Genomic DNA, 20,364 nt, shown 5'->3' on the forward strand with positions numbered 1-20,364 from the left:
ACTTAGAAATCAAAGAAGGAGCTTCATGGTGTATGTGGAAGGGGATGGAGTGTAGAGAGGAGGAGGTGGTTTCTGCAGACAGGCAGCTCTTCCCATCTTCCCAGGAGCAAAGATTAGTTCCCTGGGCCCAGGCCTCAGTGGCAGGGGGCCAAGGAAAGCAGGCCCAAGGCCTTTCCTAACTCTTAGCCCCCAGGGATTGGCACATGCCACGGGGAAAGTGAAAAACATTTTACAAAACAGGCTAGACACGTGCCACATAGCTGTGTCCTTAGAAACTTCCACACAGATCCCTGTTGGAGGCTCTTCTCCCTGTGCTGTGGCTCCCCAAAGCCTGCTTCGTTGCTGCAGGGACCTTAAGAATCCGAGGGGATTCACAGAGCCCTGGGGATTGCAACGGGATTACCGGGGAGGGATACAGGCAAAATCCCCTGAGAGGCCTGCAATGTGCTGCAGGCCTGGGGCCTTCCTGGCAGGATGGATATCTCTATTCCTGGAGCCAAAAGTTCTGGGATCTGCAGAAAGGGATCCCTCGGGGACTATAATGAATGCCGTGTTCCAGCAGTGCCAGCTCGGTTCAGCTGCTTGATTAATGACATATGAGAGGTCTCACGGCAAATTTAACAGGAGGGCGCACCCTCACACAGTGCCTGCCCTGGATAAGATCCGGCACCTCACACCCTGCAGGAGACTGGAGGGGCTCACAGAACTCCTTCCCGAGCTCGGGATCCAGGGCGAAGCCTGTGAAGAGCCCGCCTGGGTCTCAGGTTCTGAGTCTTGAGTGCATAACAATGCGCCCCAGAGCCCGCCGAGGGGAGAACTAGCTCCATCTGCTCCTTCCCAATTCTCGGCTCCGGCGAGGGGGAGGGGGATCCCTCGGCGGTTAGGCCGGGTCCTGCACGGTTATTGGCTGACACATTTTCAAAGCTACTCTCAAAGGCTTTTATGAAAATGCTGTTGCCGGGCAGCAGCTGAAGCCATTTGCCCTAGAAAATGGATGGAAGCAGGTGTAACCACTCACCCCAACATGACCCCCAAAACATTCCCCGCGACACACACGCTAGTCTACAGTGTGTTACTTTGTCCCTGTATATTTCAATAAGCGCACCAATCTGACACCTCAGCATTCCTCCCCGAAAACGTAACCATGAGCATTGTTCTTCCTGGTTTCTCTTTCAAGAGAAAGGAGGTGCCAGTCCAGGGTGGTATTCCAAGAGACACCCCAGGTTCAGCCTCGGGCTGCCTCTGGCGGCAGAAGACACAGGGTGCATCTTCCGTCTTCTAATTCCCATAGCTTTCAGGAGATAGCAGAATTGCTGGAAGTCATGAGTGTCTTAGAAAGACTGAATGCTTTTTGTTAGAGTTCTCATTCTACTAAGTACACAAAACCGAACAGCATTTAAAAATTAATGCAATGTCTAATTTTTGTTAACTGATGAAATTTCATATTTCAAAGTGCTTTGAATTTGAAGCTTTGTATTCAAAAGGACTCTTACAATCATCTAATTTGATCATCATGATAGTCCAGTGGACTACTTACATTGGAGGAAATTAAGACACCAGAAAAAAGTAATTATTTAAGGATTCATCATGTGTAACATAGCAGAACTGGGATTCAAGTGCAAGTTTTCCAAATCCCAGTCCAATATTCTAAGCTTCCCCATTGTAATGAATGAGTTACATATATTATGAATCATTGTAACAAATTCATCATATAAATTTACCCAACATGTTTGTCATGTTTTCTTGAGAAGGTTTTAAATGTGTCAAATGTGACATTTAGGTCCTCTTCTTCACCTACTTGTAGCTCCATCCCAAATGAGGCAAATAAGTGAAATTAATGGCATGGGGCGGAATAGCAGGGTTTTGAGTTGATGGACAACAGGCAACCATTGCATTTCTTTGAGCAGAATTGTGACATCATAAATCAGCATTTTAGGAAACCTCATTGGGCAGCAGGCATCAGATGACTTCTGTGACTTCCTAAGTAGATATTACATGTATCCATGACTTCCTAAAGAAATTCAGTTCTTCAATATTGTTATCCAACCCCTAAGTGATAATAGCAATGGGAATTTCAGGCCAGGTCAAAGGCACAGGTCACTGAGAGATGACTCCAAGGAAAGGCAGGGTGGAGTTATCAGCTCCCTTGAGTCATATCCATGTCCAGCTTTCCTTTGAGACAAATGTAACTTTTTGTCCCTTAAATGCAACTTTTTGTCCCTTAAGGAGTACCATAAAGGAGGTTCTTACACCACTTAGATCAAAGGTAGGCACTACTGGGAGAAGTTAAGATTATAGGGTTGGTCTCAAGGTTACTCTTTAGCTGCAGCCCTGTATCCAGCCGCCTGGAAAACTGAATGCTATTCAGGAAGCAGGACCCCCAGCTAAGTAGGCAGAGGCAAAGGAATCCTTCTTAGTGGCCCAGTCAATCTTTGAGCTGAAATTCTTAAGCTGCCATCTACCCTTGGATCTCCCCTTCTTCACTGCTGGGGTTCTCTACTTTTAAACTATTTGTTTTTTATGAAAAAATGCTCCCCATCACTAATCATCAGAGAAATGTAAATAAAAACCAAATGAAATACCATCTCACACAAGTCAGAACGGCTACTATTAAAAAGTTAAAAAACAACAGACGCTGGTGAGGCTGCAGAGGAAAAAATAACACTTACACACTATTGGTGGGAATGTAAATTAGTTCAGCCACTGTGGAAAGCAGTTTGGAGGTTTCTCAAAGAACTTAGAGCTGCCATCTGACCCAGCAATCCCATTACTGGGTATATACCTAAAGGAAAATAAATCATTCTGCTAAAAAGGCATTGTGCTATTCACAGTAGCAAAGACAAGGACTCAACCCAGGTGCCCATCAATGTTGGGTTGGATAAAGAAAATGTGGCACATATACACCATGGAATACTGTGTAGCCATAAAAAGAACAAAATCACGTCCTTTGCAGCAACATGGATGCAGGTGGAGGCCATAATCCTAAGCGAATTAACCCAGGAACAGGCAACCAAATACCACATAAACATTGGGTACTCACGGAAATAAAGATGGCAACAATCGAAAAGATGACTAGAGTAGGGAGGAAGTGAGGGGGGCAACGGTTGAAAAACTATTGGATACTATGCTCAGTACCTGGGTGACAGGATCAGTCATACCCCAAAACCCAGCATCATGCAATATACCCAGGTAACAAATCTGCACATGTACCCCTGAATCTAAAATAAAACTTGAAATTATAACTTTTTTAAAAAGACTTGTTGTGTCATACACTTGTTGGCAAAGGGATCAGTCGGTTAAATAATAAACTAATAAGGCTAAAGATCCAATCGTAAGTAAAATATTTATATCATCAGTGATTTTCTAATTAGATATTACCTGTATCCATGACTTCCTAAAGAAATTCAATTATTCAATATTGCTATCTAACCCCTAAGTGATAATAATAATGGAAATTTCAGGCCAGGTCAAATGCACAGATCACTGAGAGATGACTCAATATTTTGAAAGAGGTAAAAAGTTTTGTTCTTTATTTAGACCAAATAGGTGTTCACCTACCATATGTACATTCACAGCCCATCTAACTGCAAACATATGGAGAGTAAGTCACCTCTCTAAAGGAGAGTGCAGTGGGTCATTACAATGTATAGGCAATGATAAAGGGGCAGAAAAGGAACACTTGGATTGTTTCCAGTAAGTTCATTTGAGCACTCACCCTCTCATTTATTTACCCAGGAAGTTATCCTTTTTGAGTACTTATTATGTACCATGCACTTTGCAATGCTGGACAAGATAGAGTACTAGACAGTCTTATCTGAGTAAATAATCCCAAGCCAGTGCTTTGACCTAAATTTTGCAAAGATTCCTTACCCTCTACAAATTCCCTGCCTATGCCTTCTGAAGGGAAAGGGGCATTTTCTCCTGCAACCCAAATTTCTGAGAGAGATGCTTGTGTGGCAGCAAAAGCTGCAAACCAGAACCTTCCCTGGAGGCTGGGAAAATTGTGTTATCTCAAGAGGAGATTACACTAATCTGAATAACAAACTGCTCTGACCCACAAATCCTACCTACCACCCCCAAATCCTGAACTAACCTGATGAGATAGCAAATAGAATTGGAGCTTGTGGAGGGGTGGCCAAAAGGTACATTTGCATAGACCTCGGCTAAGAAAAATAATATCCTTTTGTTTTTGTGTCTTCAATTCACCACAACTTCAGGGGTTTTGTGACTTTATTTTGTCCTAATCCATGCTCACAGCATCCTTCTACCTTCTACCTCTGTTCTAAAGTGAAAATACAGAACCAATATCAGCTATAACCTGATTATCTGTAAAAATTGGGCCAGCACAGGGTCATGGATAATAACCACAGATGATTTTGAAAGTCATTTAAATTTGCCTTTGGCCTACATTTGTTTACACAAGTGCATTTCAAAGCAGATTCGCCTCCCTAATTACATTTTGTTTGCGTTCCCTCAGCACACATTGACTGGGAAGTCAGGGAGGGGTGATGCCGAGTAGGCTGAGTGTTGAGAAAAACTGATTAGAGATAAAAATTTGTAGGAGTTAAACCACAAATTTTATTATTCGTTTAACAAATATTTATTGAACATTAACAAATGGTACAGCACAGCACTTGGTTTTGCAGGAAATATAAAGTTGAAATGAAATAGTTTCTGACCTGAAGAAGTTTGACTTCTTAGAGAGGCAATATATAAAGACTTTACATTTATGCAATAAAGATTTCACTATAGCTTTAACTATAAGCCTAAATAGGACTGTTTTTACTTCAGATATCTACAGAGCCCAGGGGGCTTTTGATTGAATGGAATTCAGACGAATAGTGATTCCTCCAATAACCATAACTGTAATTTTCTGTGCTTCTCCACTTGTATAAAATACAATTTTCTCAGCTTGCATAAAATAGCCACAGAATCACTTCCCTGGGTACTAGAACTCTCAGGACAATGGGTTGGAGAGGTTTTTTCTTGAAACTGCACATCTGCAGGTGTTGAAGAGTTCATCACTGAAGAAGCAAATACTCAGTGTCTCTCACTGTCCTCAGTTAAACCATTCTTAGGCAGGCCCCGTCATAAGCCCTTCTTTTGGTTTATCTCTATTCCCGGAATCTGCATTACACTACCCCTAGAAGGCCAGGAGCCCTCCCAATTTCAGTCCTCCACAGAAGAAAAGTGTGCCAGTTTGGAAAAAAGCAGGTAAGGGGGGGCATCTTGGACCCATATGCAGAATGGGACAAAGGTGTGGCTCCACAGTACTAACCCTTCCCCTAGCCTCTCCCTCTAAAACTGGTCCCTTTCCACTCCCCTGCTGCCATTTCCATGGTGGAAAGAGGAATCGGGGATGCGGATTATGTATGTGTCACTTGCTGGGTGTGAATTGCAGACCCACCCTCACTGCCCCCACTCCTGGCAAGACCATGTTGGACCCAAGCTGTCCTTGATTATGGCAGGGAGGTGGCCTTATGCTAGGGATGAGTGAAGAATTCGCACAAGACACCTCCAGCCAGGCTTACCCAGGGCCAACATTGTCACTATCAGCACCATCATCAGAGGCACTCACACCACACGTGCCCATCTGTGCACAGGCAAGCCAGGTGTGAACATGGGTCCCAGCCTCCTACTGCAGGTTGTGACCTGTGAAATCATTTTCAGAGGTCAAACAATGTTTTTGATATATAGTAAGGGTAAGTACTGTTATGTGAAACAACATATCATTATGTATATTCTTACTCTGTATCACAGTTTTATTAGGATTCTCCAGAGAAACCGAAGCAACACCATACATATAGATATATAAAAATAAATTCATTATGAGAGATTGGCTTACGTGATTATGAAGGCTGAGAAGTCCCAGAGTCTGCTGTCTGGAAGCAGGAGGTGCAAGAAAGCCCATGACACATGGTAAAAACCCCAGTTCAAGTATGAAGGCCTGAGAACAAAGAGTACCCATGCCTGACAGCAGAAGACAGATGCCTCAGCTCAAGCAGACAGAGCAAATTTACCCTTCCTCTGCCTTTTTATTCTATTCAGGTCCTCAATGCAGTGGATGCTGTCCACCAACATGGGAGAGAGAAATCTTTATTCCGTCTACAGATTCATGCTAATCTCATCCAGAACATGCCCCACAGTCACACTCAGAAGTAATGTGTTACCAGCTATCTGGGCATCTCTTAGTCCTGTCAAGTTGAAGCGTAAAAAGAATCCCAAGATTTTTTTTATAGCTACTTTATCTAGAACATGCAGCATTGATGTGGGTGAGTATGAAGGAGAAGGCCTCAGGAATGATCGCATAATACTCATTGAATCAGTACTCAGATAATAGTAAATATCTGCATCATCTACAAGCAAATGGCAACATAGATAAAAAGACGGGGAATGTGTAGGGTGAAGTTCCATTTTAAACAAGACAGTATATAGAGAGTTGCCAGTTCCTTCCAATTCTTCTCATGGATTTTACATCTCCAGAAATGGCGTTTGTGCCCCTGACTCAGCAAGGGAATCAGTAGCAGCCCCGTTCAACAGCTTCTTCTATAAATGAAGAATTTTAGGAGCAAGTGGGTATGGGGCAGAGGACATTGGAGCAACAGGCCCTCTCCTCAGTGTCAGATTCTGTCCCCCACTATCCCTGAGAAATGTTTTGGAGATGCAACTTTTTTTTTCTTTATTTTTTATTTTTGGAGACAGGGTCTCATTTTGTCACTCAGGCTGAAGTGCACTGTCACCATCTCGGGTCCCCGCAACCTCTGCCTCCTGGGCTCAAGTAATCCTCCCACTTCAGCCTCCCAAGTGGCTGGGACTATAGGTATGCACTACTACGCCCAGCTCATTTTTGTATTTTTTTTGTAGAGATGGGTTTTCACCATGTTGCCTGGGCTGGTCTCAAACTCCTGGACTCAAGTGATCTGTCTGCTCACTTCAGCCTCCCACAGTGCTTGGATTATAGGTGTGCACCACCACACCTGGCCTGGAGATATGTTTTATATGTCAGGACAACAATCTGGCTCCCCTGTCCAACTAGTGCTGCTGATCGTGCCACCTGCTAGAACTGAGCTAAAAAGAGATTTGAAGACCAGGAAATTAACCACCTAAGTAGGAAGACCTAATGCTCCCAGAATGCCTTCCTCATCCATGGGCTAACTCATTTTTGTTTTTCCTTTTTTGAGACAGAGTCTCACTTTTGCTGCCCAGGCTGGAGTACAGTGGTACGATCTCAGCTCACTGCAACCTCTGCCTCCTGGGTTCAAGCGATTCTCGTGCCTTAGCCTCCCAAGTAGCTGGGACTACAGGCGTGTGCCACCACGCCTGGCTAATTTTTGTATTTCTATTAGAGATGGGGTTTCACCATGTTGGCCAGGCTGGTCTCAAACTCCTGACCTCAGATATCCACCCACCTCAGCCTCCCAAGGTGCTGGGATTACAGGCATGAGCCACCATGCCTGGCCATCCATGGGCTAACTCTTAAAATCAATGTGGGAGTACATTATTTCATATCAAACTCTAAATTCCCCTGAAGTGGTAACACTTTAGGCTGTCAGTCATTTATATCTCAGTATGAATTCATTTCAGATTTTTTTTCTAAAACTAAGTATCTTAGGAGGCCAAGGCAGGCAGATCACCTGAGGTCAGGAGTTCAAGACCAGCCTGCCCAACATGGCGAAATCCCATCTCTACTAAAAATACAAAAAATTAGCCAGGCGTGGTGGGGGGTGCCTATAATCCCAGCTACTCGGGAGGCTGAGGCAGGAGAATAGCTTGAACCGGGAGGTGGAGGTTGCATTGAGCCGAGATCGCACCACTGCACTCCAGACTGGGCAACAAGAGTGGGACTCCATCTCAAAAAACAAACAAACAAACAAAAACTAGGTATCGATAGGAACAAAAACAAGATTGTGCCTGAGAGGACACTACTACTGTAATAGTAGCCTAATGGAAGGAGGCTGGAGAGGCAAAGACAACCTTTTGTACTTTGCTGTGCTGGGAGCTGGTCCAGCTGAGGAACATGGCCTTCTGCCCACTAAGAACACTGCAGCCAACAGTGGTTTGAGCCAGCTTTCTAAGAACATTGGCCATTTGAGTTTGGCTTTGAACCTAGAAGTCCAAGTTCAAGTATGAAGCAGGGGAAGGTGTGGCAAAGGCATCAAAATTTTATTTTAATATTTGTCAAACCATTCTGCTCCTTTTCCTGCCCCCACCTCTACTATCACCGCCACTAGAAGAATCATTCCAATAACCCGCTAACTTGGGGCCAGATGATCTTTATGGTTTGGCCAGGAAAAGTCCAAGGGCAGAGGCACCTAAGGCAACTGTGTAGTCATCATCATAATCAATAAATAACATTAGGCATTTCTACTTGCCAGCAAGGTGCTAAATTTTTGTTTGTTTGTTTTGTTTTGTTTTGTTTTTGAGATGGAGTCGCTCTGTCGCCCAGGCTGGAGTGCAGTGGCATGATCTTGGCTCACTGCAAGCTCTGCCTCCCGGGTTCACACCATTCTCCTGCCTCAGTCTCCCGAGTGGCGGGGACTACAGGCGCCCACCACCATGTCTGGCTAATTTTTTGTATTTTTAGTAGAGACAGGGTTTCACCGTGTTAGCCAGGATGGTCTCGATCTCCTGACCTCGTGATCCACCCGCCTCGGCCTCCCAAAGTGCTGGGATTACAGGCATTAGATGCTAAGCTTTTTATGGGGATTATTTCTTTCAATCATCACAAAACTCCACGAGATAAGTCTGTCATTGTATAGATGATAAAACTAAAGCTTAGAAAGGTTAAGTAATAGGCCACAGTCACAGGGCTCGTCAGTAGTGCAGATGGAATTCAGCCAAGGACGTCTGACCCCAAACTCCTAATCAATAGGCTAAGCAGCAGCACCCCTTGGGAAGAAGTACTAGTCACTCAAGGAGTCCACCAGAAAAAGTCTGCTTCCCTCTGTTTGTCTTCCACTCAAGCCTCATCCCTTCACAATGTGACCTGGAAAGGAATTTTCCCCCATACTGCCTCCCAGGAAGCCATGGAAAGGAAGCCCCCGCTGGCCCCTGCAGTGTCCTTGAAGGAGATGGATGAAGGTGAGGCAGACCTGACTCACAGCCGCTGCAGGTCCCTGTGCTGGGAAGCAGCCTGTCTACAGAGGCACACCTGGGCTCCCCACACCCCTGAGATGATATAATGGCTCAGACAAGGGGTTTGAAGCCATCAATGGACTGATAGCATAATACCCATGACTTCCACAGAACGTGTCTTTAAGCGGAAGAAATAAGGGCAGGATAATTTTAGCTCTGTGTGCCTTAGCACGGCTCCATCTCTCCTGCCACCAGGCTGGCTTCCAGACAGAGACCACTTGTGTCTCTCTGCATTGAGGCCCTCAAACCCGGCCAAGAACAACAGACTTCAAAGTTTGCGGAGTAAGTTTGGGCCGCATGGGGGAATCAGAGCTCAAGGCTCCTGCCCCATACTTGGGAACTGTTGTGTCAGCAGGAAGCCACTTTCTCTTTGAACACAGCCATGAGGTGATGAGACTTCTGAATGTCCAAGTTGACGCTGGTGCTCCTAACATCTGGTCGCTGATGCACTGCTCCCCAAGCAGCTCTGGGCAGGCGGAAGCTTGGGGCAGGGAAAGGATGACCTGTGCGGCCTGCCAAGATGGTGAAAGTCCTTCCATCTAGGAACAGCAGCCTGACGAAAGCGCCTTTTCCCATTTCCCACACACCTTCTTCTCTCCGTTTCTCTCTTTGGTTTTAGTGGTTCTTCCTTTTCCTGGCTTTCTTTCTACTTCTGTAGATGTGCTTTTATGTATGTGTGGGTTTTTGTTTTTGTTTTATCCCCATTAGAGCACTGTCCACCTTTTTCTAACTTTCCCAATGTTGTGGGTCCTTAGTGGGAAAACACTGGGCCTCATAGTTTCTACTCTTACTGAAAAGTTTTACACTTTTCAGCCCTCCTGTCTTTGCTCACCAAAGTCCAGGTATATGTGCTTATTGACAGAAAAGATTCAAGAATCTGAACTATGAAGTGCACACACACATGTATTCTCTCTTGCTCTCTCTCTCACACACACACACACATCCTTTCCATACCCACTCAAACCAGAATACTCTTGACTCAACCTCATCAGAGCCAGTTAAAGATAATAATCTTTCTCTGGTTATGGTCTCCACATCAATGTGACACCTCATATCCAACCATCTTTGGAACTCAGGGACTGAGTTTATTTAGCTCTTGGTGAAATGTAAGTGACCCCATAAAGCCAAAGACTGGATAACCACATACCAAGGAGTGTACCAGGTATTGCCACTGGGTGATACTATATCTCATCGGCACTCCCCTGCCTAGGTGGCAAGTAAAGTTCTGACACACTATTTCTATTCCCTGACTTTAAGAAAAAGGTGCAGAGTTGCAAACTACTGCCAACCTAATCTTATTTTTTCAACTCCCCCCACTGTCACTTACTTGTTTTATGAATGCGAACCATCTTAGCATCTCTTTGCATCAGTTTCTTCATCTGTAAAATGGGGATAATAAAAATTACCTATCCCTTAGGGTCATTATGTCAAATAAATGTGAAACAGTTATAGTTCTTGGCTGCAAGCAACAGAATCCAACTCTAGATTCTGGGTTACAGGAGTGAATAATTTCTCTGGGACAGCGCTGTCAGAATTAGTCAACTCCAATCATTTTTCCATCCTTGTTTCACTAAGGTTTCACATTTCTAAGAGAGAGAGAGGGCTTGATTGGTCTAGCATAGGCCACATACCCATCCTTTTTACCAGCGAAGGATACAGGAATTTGACTCACAGGTGTGGTATGAGACCTAAAGTTATGGCCCAAAATGAGGAAGGCCTCAAATGACCTAACTGCAAACTTCTTTCTCCCTCTCCTCCTACAAATAAGGTCCCCTGGCCAAACATCTCTCCTTATCAAATGAACAAAGTGCAATTCCTGCTTATCCCTGAGTAGTGGGTTTCAGTTTCCTGCTGGCCTGTGGAATTACTCAAATGACCCAATCACATCTTTATAAGGTAGCAGGGACACCCCTACCCTCTTGATACTACAAAGTCTGTCTCCCACAGCCTCTACTTGTTCACTCTATTCCTGAGCATAACCCCCTATGGCTCTGTGTGGCCGGTGGTGTCCTCCTCCCCCAGGCTGTGTGTATAAATGACTAATAAAATGCTGGCAACCTCATCTGTCCAGGGTCAGGTGTCCTGTGTGTTCAGCCATCCCCATAACCCTACAGCAAAGATCCCTCTCCCACCAATGGGGAGAAGAGAAGGCAAACAAAACAAAAGGCCCCCAAAGATTGCATGTAATGGGGAATAGGTGAGCTCCAAAAGGAAAATCAGGAGTTGATTTTCCGCTTTAAATCTGCTGTTACCACAAGAGGAGGAGGGATGCAGGACAAGCAAAAACAACAGGCATTCAAACACCATGAAAAGTGCTTAACACAGTACCTGAGAAACAGAAAAGGACCTGAAAATGTAGGTAGTAGTAATATTATTTTCATATTATTATGTAATTCAACAAACTCTCCAAAAAGAAACCTCTCATTGCAGCATTTTTCATGTTCATGGAGTACTTTTTGTCCCTGCCCCCTGCAACCTTTCCCCAGCACCTACACAACAGTTCAGGGCAATAAGCATCAAGAAACCAAAGGCATCTTTAAGGCAATCACAGGTGTGAGTCCCAATGCAAGAGGCACAAAGATGCCGGCAAAGGACACCACTTTGCATGGGATTCCTGAGTTGGTAGGTGAATGAGGCCCAAGAAGGAGATCACACAAGGACCTCGCTTTGCAAATGAAGTCACTGTCAGTCAAAAATGCATCAGGCCAGAAGTGAACAGGTGATGAGCCAGTACCTCTGTACTGAACCACTCCCCTGATCACTTGCCTTTTTCAGGGAACACTTGAAAACACTACTTCTGGCAAGGCTTGGCCTTCAGAGTAGACAATGTGGCCACTGCACCATGATGTATCCCAATCACAAGTGCCAGACAGAGCCCCCTGACCCCAAATACCAATCCATTGTCTATCATTCTGCCATTAAAATGTCATTCTTCTGATTTCCAAGAGTCCTTTTCAAAATGACACAGGTCCCACCTCGTCAGCAAATACTTTACCTGCAACGTTTGATCTCCTTAAGCTGGGAAGCAAAATAGGACACAGGCTGGATACCTGACTGGAAGCAGAGCACCTGACTAGGACAAGACCCAGGAGGGAGGAAAGGAGGACTGATAAGTGGCTGGGAACACATACCAGCAACAAATATTGAGACAGATACTCAGTGGGCTGGGGTCAGCCAGCATTACCCCTGACTTGAACTGTGGAACAATTCAGCCAAGTGATGTGGCTGCACCCTGGCATCACCCTAACCTTTGTCTACCAGGAGCTCAAGGCCTTGGCATCTGCATTAACAGCCAGGAATATCTTGGCCCCAGATACTGGCTAAGTTCCAAAAATCTCCAGATGCTACACAGGGCCTGAGATCTCACCACCTTGAACAGCAGGAAACTCTAACCTGATCTTCCCATCATATTAATCTCTGTTTTCCTCCTTTGCTTTCCACCATCCTAGAGCTTCTAATTTGCAGAATTTAGAAATCAAAATTCTTGAGCCGTTGCTTGCATAGCTCTGTCCTGTTTCAGAGTATGAATGATAACAACAGTAGGTGCAACAATTTTTTAGAGCTTATTAAATGTCAGGAACCCTATAAGTAACTTATTTACTCCCCTACAATAACCCTGCAAAGTGAACTTTGTTACTCCCATTTAACAAGTGAAGAAATCTAAGTCACACATAGTAGGGGGAAGAGCTGGAATTCAGATCTAACTCTAAAGCCTCAAACACACTCATTGCCTCTTGAAAAAGGATGCTGGACTTATCATCATGTGCCAATCCTGCCAAACAGGTTAGCTACACATCCATGAAGTACCCATGAAAATGTGAGTTTTTCCTGAAGTAAAGCTTCTCAGGCATTCAGAATGTAAACTCATACAGCTACTTGGATGTCAATCCATGGCCACATTTGACCTGATTACTCAGGTCATACAGAGCCCAGACCCTGCCCTACAGGCTAATAAACACATCTTGTTCCATCTGAATTTGACCATAAAATCCAGCTATCTTTTTAGTCTGTTTCTAGAGCCTTTATTGATATATCCTTCCAATGTGCTCACATGTCACCCACGGCCAGAACATAAAAATGTCTCTGGCTTGGAACACCATATGAACAGTATTTACACCTTTTAAAAATATGGGCATCCTTCAAAATACCCACACTTTATTATAAACAATACCCTTTAGGATGTTCTAACACAGAAGTATTCTATTCCTTCTGTTCTTCTGTTGTAGCCATGGAGACCTCAGATTTGGTTGAAATAAATAGACAAAATTAAAACCTGCACAAAAAGTTGGTATCAGAACAAACAATATTGACAGTTTATATTTCAAGAGTATTTTTGTCTGAGGAAATCAATCATTCTACAGACATGACCTCATTCTGATCTCTCAGGTAGGAAAAGGACAGTCCTGCCTTCCTCTTAAGATCCTCAAAGGACTCATGGTGACGACCAGGTAAAGGGGAGACTGGGGCTGTAGCACCCTGAAATATATGGCTGAAACTAAAGTATTTCACCTACCCAGTTGTTTGGCATCAGACCGGTCAAATTAATCATTTGAATTTAATATTTTAATTGGTCAAGTCAGCCAAAGTGGTATAAGATAAGAATTGGCCAAGTTGCCATCGTCCCAAATTGAGCCATGGCGACCAACTAAGAATAAATCTTGGGTGGCTCACTCGAAGATACATATAATTTTAAAAAAGAAATATTTCCCTGCTGTTAACAAAATTGCTCTCTTTATTTTATCTTCTTTTTTCTTTTTCTTTGAGACAGAGTCTTGCTCTGTCACCTAGGCTGGAGTGCAGTGGTGTGATCTCGGCTCACTGCAACCTCCAGCTCCCAGGTTCAAGTGATTCTCCTGCCTCAGCCTCCCAAGTAGCTGGGATTACAGGCGCATGCCACCACACCTGGCTAATCTTTGTATTTTTAGTAGAGATGGGGTTTCACCATGTTAGCCAGGCTCTTCTAGATCTCCTGACCTCCAGTGATCTGCCTGCCTCAGCCTCCCAAAATGCTGGGATTACAGATGTGAGCCACCACGCCCGGCCTCTCTTTAATGATTGCAGTTGTCCCATAGATTGCACTGGCACGGGGGATACCTCTAAAATACAAATCTAATCACCTTACCCCCACTGACCACAGGATGAACCTGAGGTCCTTCCTGATGACACAAGGGCCTTAACTGACCCCTGGACCACTTTCCTGGTTCACCTCTCTCCCCTGTCCCCACTGCCATGCTATAGTTGTGAGATGCTGTTAGTAACTAGCAATTGTTTAAATGCTCAAGCTGTTGCCAAAGCCATTTACTGTGCCTGGAAATACTACATCTCCCATGGTACGCATACACGCCAGCCCTGACCCCATCATTGCCTGTTTGAAAAACACCAATTTATCTCTCTTTTCTTTTATGGTCACTTTTTAAAGTAATTTTTTATTGCAAAAGAAGTACACAGAAAATACAGTACATAAAACAGAAACAAGAAAAGTAGAAGTACACATTATCATGATACCAAAGATAAAATTGTTTGCATTTTGATATATTCCTCACAATCCTCTTCGTGTGCATATTTATAGACATTTTCTACCACGCCAATTTGACTTTTGAGACTCATCTCAAATGCCACTTCCTATAAGAAGACTTTTCTAACCTTTCCTCCCCCTCATGCCCCCAAACTTAATCTCACTCACTCCCACTCACCCTACAGGTTTCAGCTTAAATGTCATATCCTCAGACAGTTTTTTCCTGACCCGCATAGTAAATGACATCACCCCAGTTACTCTTTGACAGCACACTGTTCTTTCTTTCATAAAACTATCTGAATTTATCATTATAAATATATTTGTGTATTTATGCATTCATGTCTTTCTTTCCATTAGGCTGTAAGATCCACAAGAGTAGAGACAATTGCTGGCCGTGCTTATCACTGTGGACCCAAAGCCTGAAGTAGCATCTGGTTCATTAAACACATGATGAATATATGTTGAATAACTAAATGAATGAAAACACCGTTCTTCAAGCTCCCACTAACACCTTACCACTCTCTACCATGTCAACTTATTTTATTATAACAATTGCTCATCATTAAACCGTATGGTCCTGGAAGAAAAAGACTGTTTTTAAGTCTATAAAGTCATATTTATATGTGAAATCATAATTACATCCCCATAACACAATGTCCTGCATATGGTAGATATTCAGTTATTCAGAATGAGAAAAATGGAATGAGTGAATGAATTGCTATATGGGCAGGGCAGCTTGCCAGTGATGCTCTCAAGTGATCCTTTTTCTTAAATAAATCTTTCCTTCCTGGTTTTGATAATAGTTTCCATATAACACCAAAATATAACTGAAACGTAAAAACATTGCTTTGTGCTCCAGATGTTTCATTTTCAGAAGCCAAACATCCAGATCATTTGGACCCATATGAAAAACTGAGCATCTCTTCATCCAAATGTTTGGCATTTTCTTGGCTTATTCAGAGTCCAAAGGAAGAAAGAAATGGATGCGTTACCCCTACGCCATCAATACAGAGAGAAAATGAAAATAAATAATTAGTATGATTAAAGCCCACATTTTCAATGCGCCATAATCTTTCTATAATACATTCCAAAGAGCACTGATTTACATAAGAGACAACTGTTGTATGGGAACATCAGTGAGTTTGCTTTCAGCTACAAAGAAGAAAACCCACTGAAAGTGGCTTACCCATCAATAATATTTATTGTAACGTATAAGAGGAAGTCTGGAGTTTGGCTTATTCAGCAGCTCAGCAGCATCAACAAAGACCTGGGTATTTTCTAACTTTATACCCTGTCTTTCCTAGAAAACATCTTTCTCCCAGTTTCAAAGTGATGGAAGTAGTCCAGGTGTCACATACACAACAAATAGCATACTGCAAAGCAGGCAGTTACTCTCACTTACCCCTTTAAATTGGCACAAAAAACCTGAGCACGCTCCCCACTCCCCATCTGGCTTCTTCTCAGGTCCTATAGGCCATGATTGGGCCCTGTGTCTATGCTTCACCCAGTTATTGGAAAGGGGAATAAGATTATCAGTATTGCTTTAGATTAGCAGTTTCCTAACTTTAGCCCATATCAGAATCACCTAGAAGTGACCCAGCATCACCCAGATTGTGGGGCTCTATCCCCAGAGTCTTTTATTCAAGTGGGGCCTGAAATTTTGCATTTAGAATAAGTTCCCAGATAATATTGATGCTGCTCGTCTTGAGACCACATTTTTGGAACATCTGACTTAGACCAATCATGACCCATCTGCCAGCAATGGGGAGGGAGCCAAGCCTGCCAGGTGTCTTGGTTGCCTGAGAGCTATACAGAATTGTGGCTTTTCTCGGCAAGGAATAGCAGTGTGGCTAGTAATATTAGGGTCTGCCACAGTGAAACAGAATAATAATACTGGAATGTATTGAGAGCTTTGTATGTACCAAAAATTGCTCTAAAAACACAATATAGTCACCCTTGATATCCAAGGAGGATAGGTTCTTTCATATCCAAGGGGCATAGGTTCCCATAGTACCAAAATCCATGGATATTCAAGTCCCTCATATAAAATGGCATCGTATTTGCATATAACGTACACACATCCTCCCCTGTACTTCAAATCATCTCTAGATTGCTTATAATACCTAATACAATATAAATGGAATGAAAATAGTAGTTACACTGTTTTTTGGTTTTTTTTTTTTTCCTAGAGACAGAGTCTCACTTTGTCGCCCCGGCTGGAGTACAGTGGCTTGATCATAGCTCATTGCAACTTCCACCTCCCGGGTTCAAGCAATTCTCCTGCATCAGCCTCCTGAGTAGCTGGGACTACAGGTGTACGCCACCATGCCTGGCTAATTTTTTGTATTTTAGTAAAGAAGGGGTTTCACTGTGTTGCCCAGGCTGGTCTTGAACTCCTGAGCTCAGCCAATCTGCCCACCTTGGCCTCCCAAAGTACTAGGATTACAGGTGTGAGCCACCACACCTGGCCTGTATTTTTATTTATATTATTTTCATTATTGTATTGCTATTTTTTATTGTTTTTTTTTTCTGAATATTTTTCATCCACAATTGGTTGAATCTGCAAATATGGGAACCCCCAGACATGGAAGGCCAAGTGTATACATTTTTAAATCTCTCAAATGATTCTTTGAGGTAGGTATCTATTATGCCCATTTACAGATCAGAAAATTGAGAAACAGAAAGCTACAGAAATTGCCCATAGTCATACTGCTAGTAAGTTCTGTAGCCTGAGTTTAAACCATGATCTGTGTAACTTTCACAGCCCAAACTCTTAGCTATGATGCAATTTGGGGACCTGAGTTTGAATTCCGGCCCTGCCACTTTTCTGTGCCTCGGATCATCATCCAAGGTCAAATACAAATGCCACCACCTAGATTCACCTTGAGAATGATCACAATTTAGTGAAAAGTGAGTGCACTTTGGGATCAGGCAGAAAATCAGGCTTCCTGCTGTGTGACTTGGCTAAGTCTTTTCATCTGTCCAATCTCATCTTCCCCCAAGGTATAACGAACATACTAATTCTTGTCTCACAGGAAATTTGGAGGAAGTGTGTGGTAAAATACTTTACCCTATCCCTGGCACATAGTAGCCAGTCAATATGAGTGGCTCTCATTACTATTAATGACCAGCTCTGTGACCTTGGACATTCATCTGTAAAACTAGAGCTTTACAGAATACTTAGGAAGTCTAAACAAGCTCTGAGAAAATGCCTGGTACATTTTTATGCAAATGACCTGCTGCATTATAATTGTATGCAGTTAAATGAAAGCCACACTACTTCCTGTTATAAGAAAGTGAAAACCATCCTCATCTTCAACCTCAACAGAAGGAGAAAACTAAGGCTGAGGCCGGAGGAGCAAGAGGGAAAGAAGAGGCTCCTGGAACCATCAATTACTTTCCTATGGAAAAGAGTCAGACTCATTTTTCTTCCTGAAACTAACAGAGTATCTCCTTCCTTTTACATGCCAAAGATTTTCACCTGAAATTGTTGAGATAAGATGACACAGCTAACCTTAGCACACAGATGGTTTCATTATGTCATCATTTCAGCTCATTTCATCAGTGAAACCCTGGAAAGGACTTACCTGCAATTAAAAGAACTAAAATTCTGGTGTTTCAGAGTCTCAGCAAGGCCTGCCCTAGTGGGTGTCCCTATCTGAAAGAGTGCCCCCATCCTGTGCCCACTGTCACCCTTGGTTCCCTCCCCTATTGTGTTTTCTTCAGGGAAACTAACACCTTCTAAAATTACAATGTCAGTTTACTTGCTAATGATCTGCCTCCCCCATAAGAAGTAAACTCTAAAAAGAGAGGAATTTTGTCTGTCCTGGTCACTGGTATGTCCTCAATCCCTAGAACCATCTTTAGCTTACAGTAGTTACTAATTAAATATGTTGAATGAATGAAGAAATAAATAAATGGATATTTAAATAGCAGAGACAAGTTCATCTCTTTTTCCAAGCTGAAATTTTACTGAGTATAAGACAGTAACCCAATTATCCTAATGGTATACTCATTAATATTTCATCAAAGGAGAGAATACAAATGAAAGGACTATGAAAACTGTTGTCCACGTAGCTGGAACCTTACCTTGAGGACCTAAGTCTGTGCTGAGATGTAGACAAGTTTAAGCATGACCAAGGGTGTGATGACCTCACATCGTGGGGGCCAAAGCACCTCTGTCCTGGGACAGAGCATATCCAAAGGTAAGAGAGAGTTGGAATATCTAGGAAAGATCCCAGACAAGCCAGCGTGAAGGAATATTTTGAGGCAAGCCAGGCTCTGTGTCCCAGCAGGTCCTGCAACCACAGACTTACATCTGAGTCCTAGAGAGACAGAACTAAAGCAGAACCCAAAAAGAAACAGAATTGATTCAGCAGTTGGAGCAGTAGACAACCAACATCTGCAACTGGAAGGGGAAATCCCAAAGATGTTGTCAAATTTGGACGGCACCATGGTATTTTCAGAGGCATTAGAAACACTCCACAAGGCAGTGGCAGCAAGACCTCCACCTGGCATCGCACTTCCTGAAGCAGCCAGGCAGATGCCAGCAGTGGAGCCTCAAGTGGACATCTCTGGCATGGTGGGAGCCATGATACTGCAGTGAACTCAGAGACATCATCTAAGCTGACTAGAATAGAGAAAATTGGCAGACTCCACATAACAGCTGAGAGGACAGGTTAATGAGCACACATTAAGCAACATGGAATCTAGAGCCCTAGAACAATATGAGAAAAATGGAAAAGGGGCTAGAGAACAGAACACTGTTTTCTGGCCGTTGTCTTAACCCTCTTCTCTTTATAGTTTTAATTGCTGTGATATGGCGTGCTTTACCAAAAAAATAAATAAATAAATAAAACTGGGTCATCTTAAGAGCCTCTCCCCTCCCACCTTGAATCCAATCTCAACAAATTGACAAGTTAGACAAACATATGTACATTCACAAATCTTACTGTAATAGCGTCGGATGGAAATGGGACATTTTAATGGAAATGTCGAAGGGATTCAGAGGTTGATGTGACACCTTTTTCCCAAATAACAGTTTCTAAAAATTGCTTTTGAAAAGCATGCTTACCCACCCAACTACCTCCACAATGACTGAAATCTTCCCATGTTTCCCCGGTTTCTTTCTTGTCCCAACAGCTCATTACCCATCTGTCCCAGGTATCCCATTATTCGGCCTTCTTAGTCCCATGCCTTCTCTATGCACAAAGGCCAGGAGTTGCGCAGCACAGAGTAGCCTTCCTCCTGGGAAGGGAGTGTTAACGCTCACGCTCATTCTTCCTTTATCACAGAAATCAAAATCAGAAAAGCAGTTTTAAGTGAGAGGAGAAAAAAAGTTAGACTCTTTCCAAAAATGTATAAGTATCCTTTACAAATGATACCACAAGAAAAGAAGAAAATTCATGTAAATGTAGGAAAAATAGGATGCCTAAAAAGTAGACACATGAATTGTTTGAAAATTTTCAAAATCAAAAGTAAACTCTATTTTTCTTTTTCTTTCTTCTTTTTTTTTTTTTTTAAGACAGAGTCTCTCTCTGTCACCCAGTGGCGCAATCTTGACTTCCCAGGTTCAAGCAATCCTCCCACCTCAGCCTCCTGAGTAGGTGCGACTACAGGCGCATACCACTGCACCCTGCTTCCCCCTACCTTCCCGTAAAGATGAGGTCTCACTATATTGCCCAGGCTGTTCTCAAACTCCTGGGCTCAATGAT

The 20,364-nt window shown here is 43.2% G+C and overlaps 1 protein-coding gene and 1 long non-coding RNA gene across 3 annotated transcripts in view; one reads left to right on the forward strand and one right to left on the reverse strand.

Moving 5' to 3' along the window:
* RGS8 (regulator of G protein signaling 8) overlaps nt 1-20,364 on the reverse strand; it is a 110,559-nt gene that overhangs the window by 57,488 nt on the left and 32,707 nt on the right. The window lies entirely within an intron of this gene.
* LINC01688 (long intergenic non-protein coding RNA 1688) lies at nt 13,557-15,239 on the forward strand. Its single transcript, NR_146548.1, has 2 exons — nt 13,557-13,583; nt 15,008-15,239. It is a non-coding gene; the product is annotated as a long intergenic non-protein coding RNA 1688 (long non-coding RNA).

This window comes from Homo sapiens, chromosome 1 (genome assembly GCF_000001405.40).
Source record: "Homo sapiens chromosome 1, GRCh38.p14 Primary Assembly".
In the NCBI taxonomy this organism is placed as follows: Eukaryota; Metazoa; Chordata; class Mammalia; order Primates; family Hominidae; genus Homo; species Homo sapiens.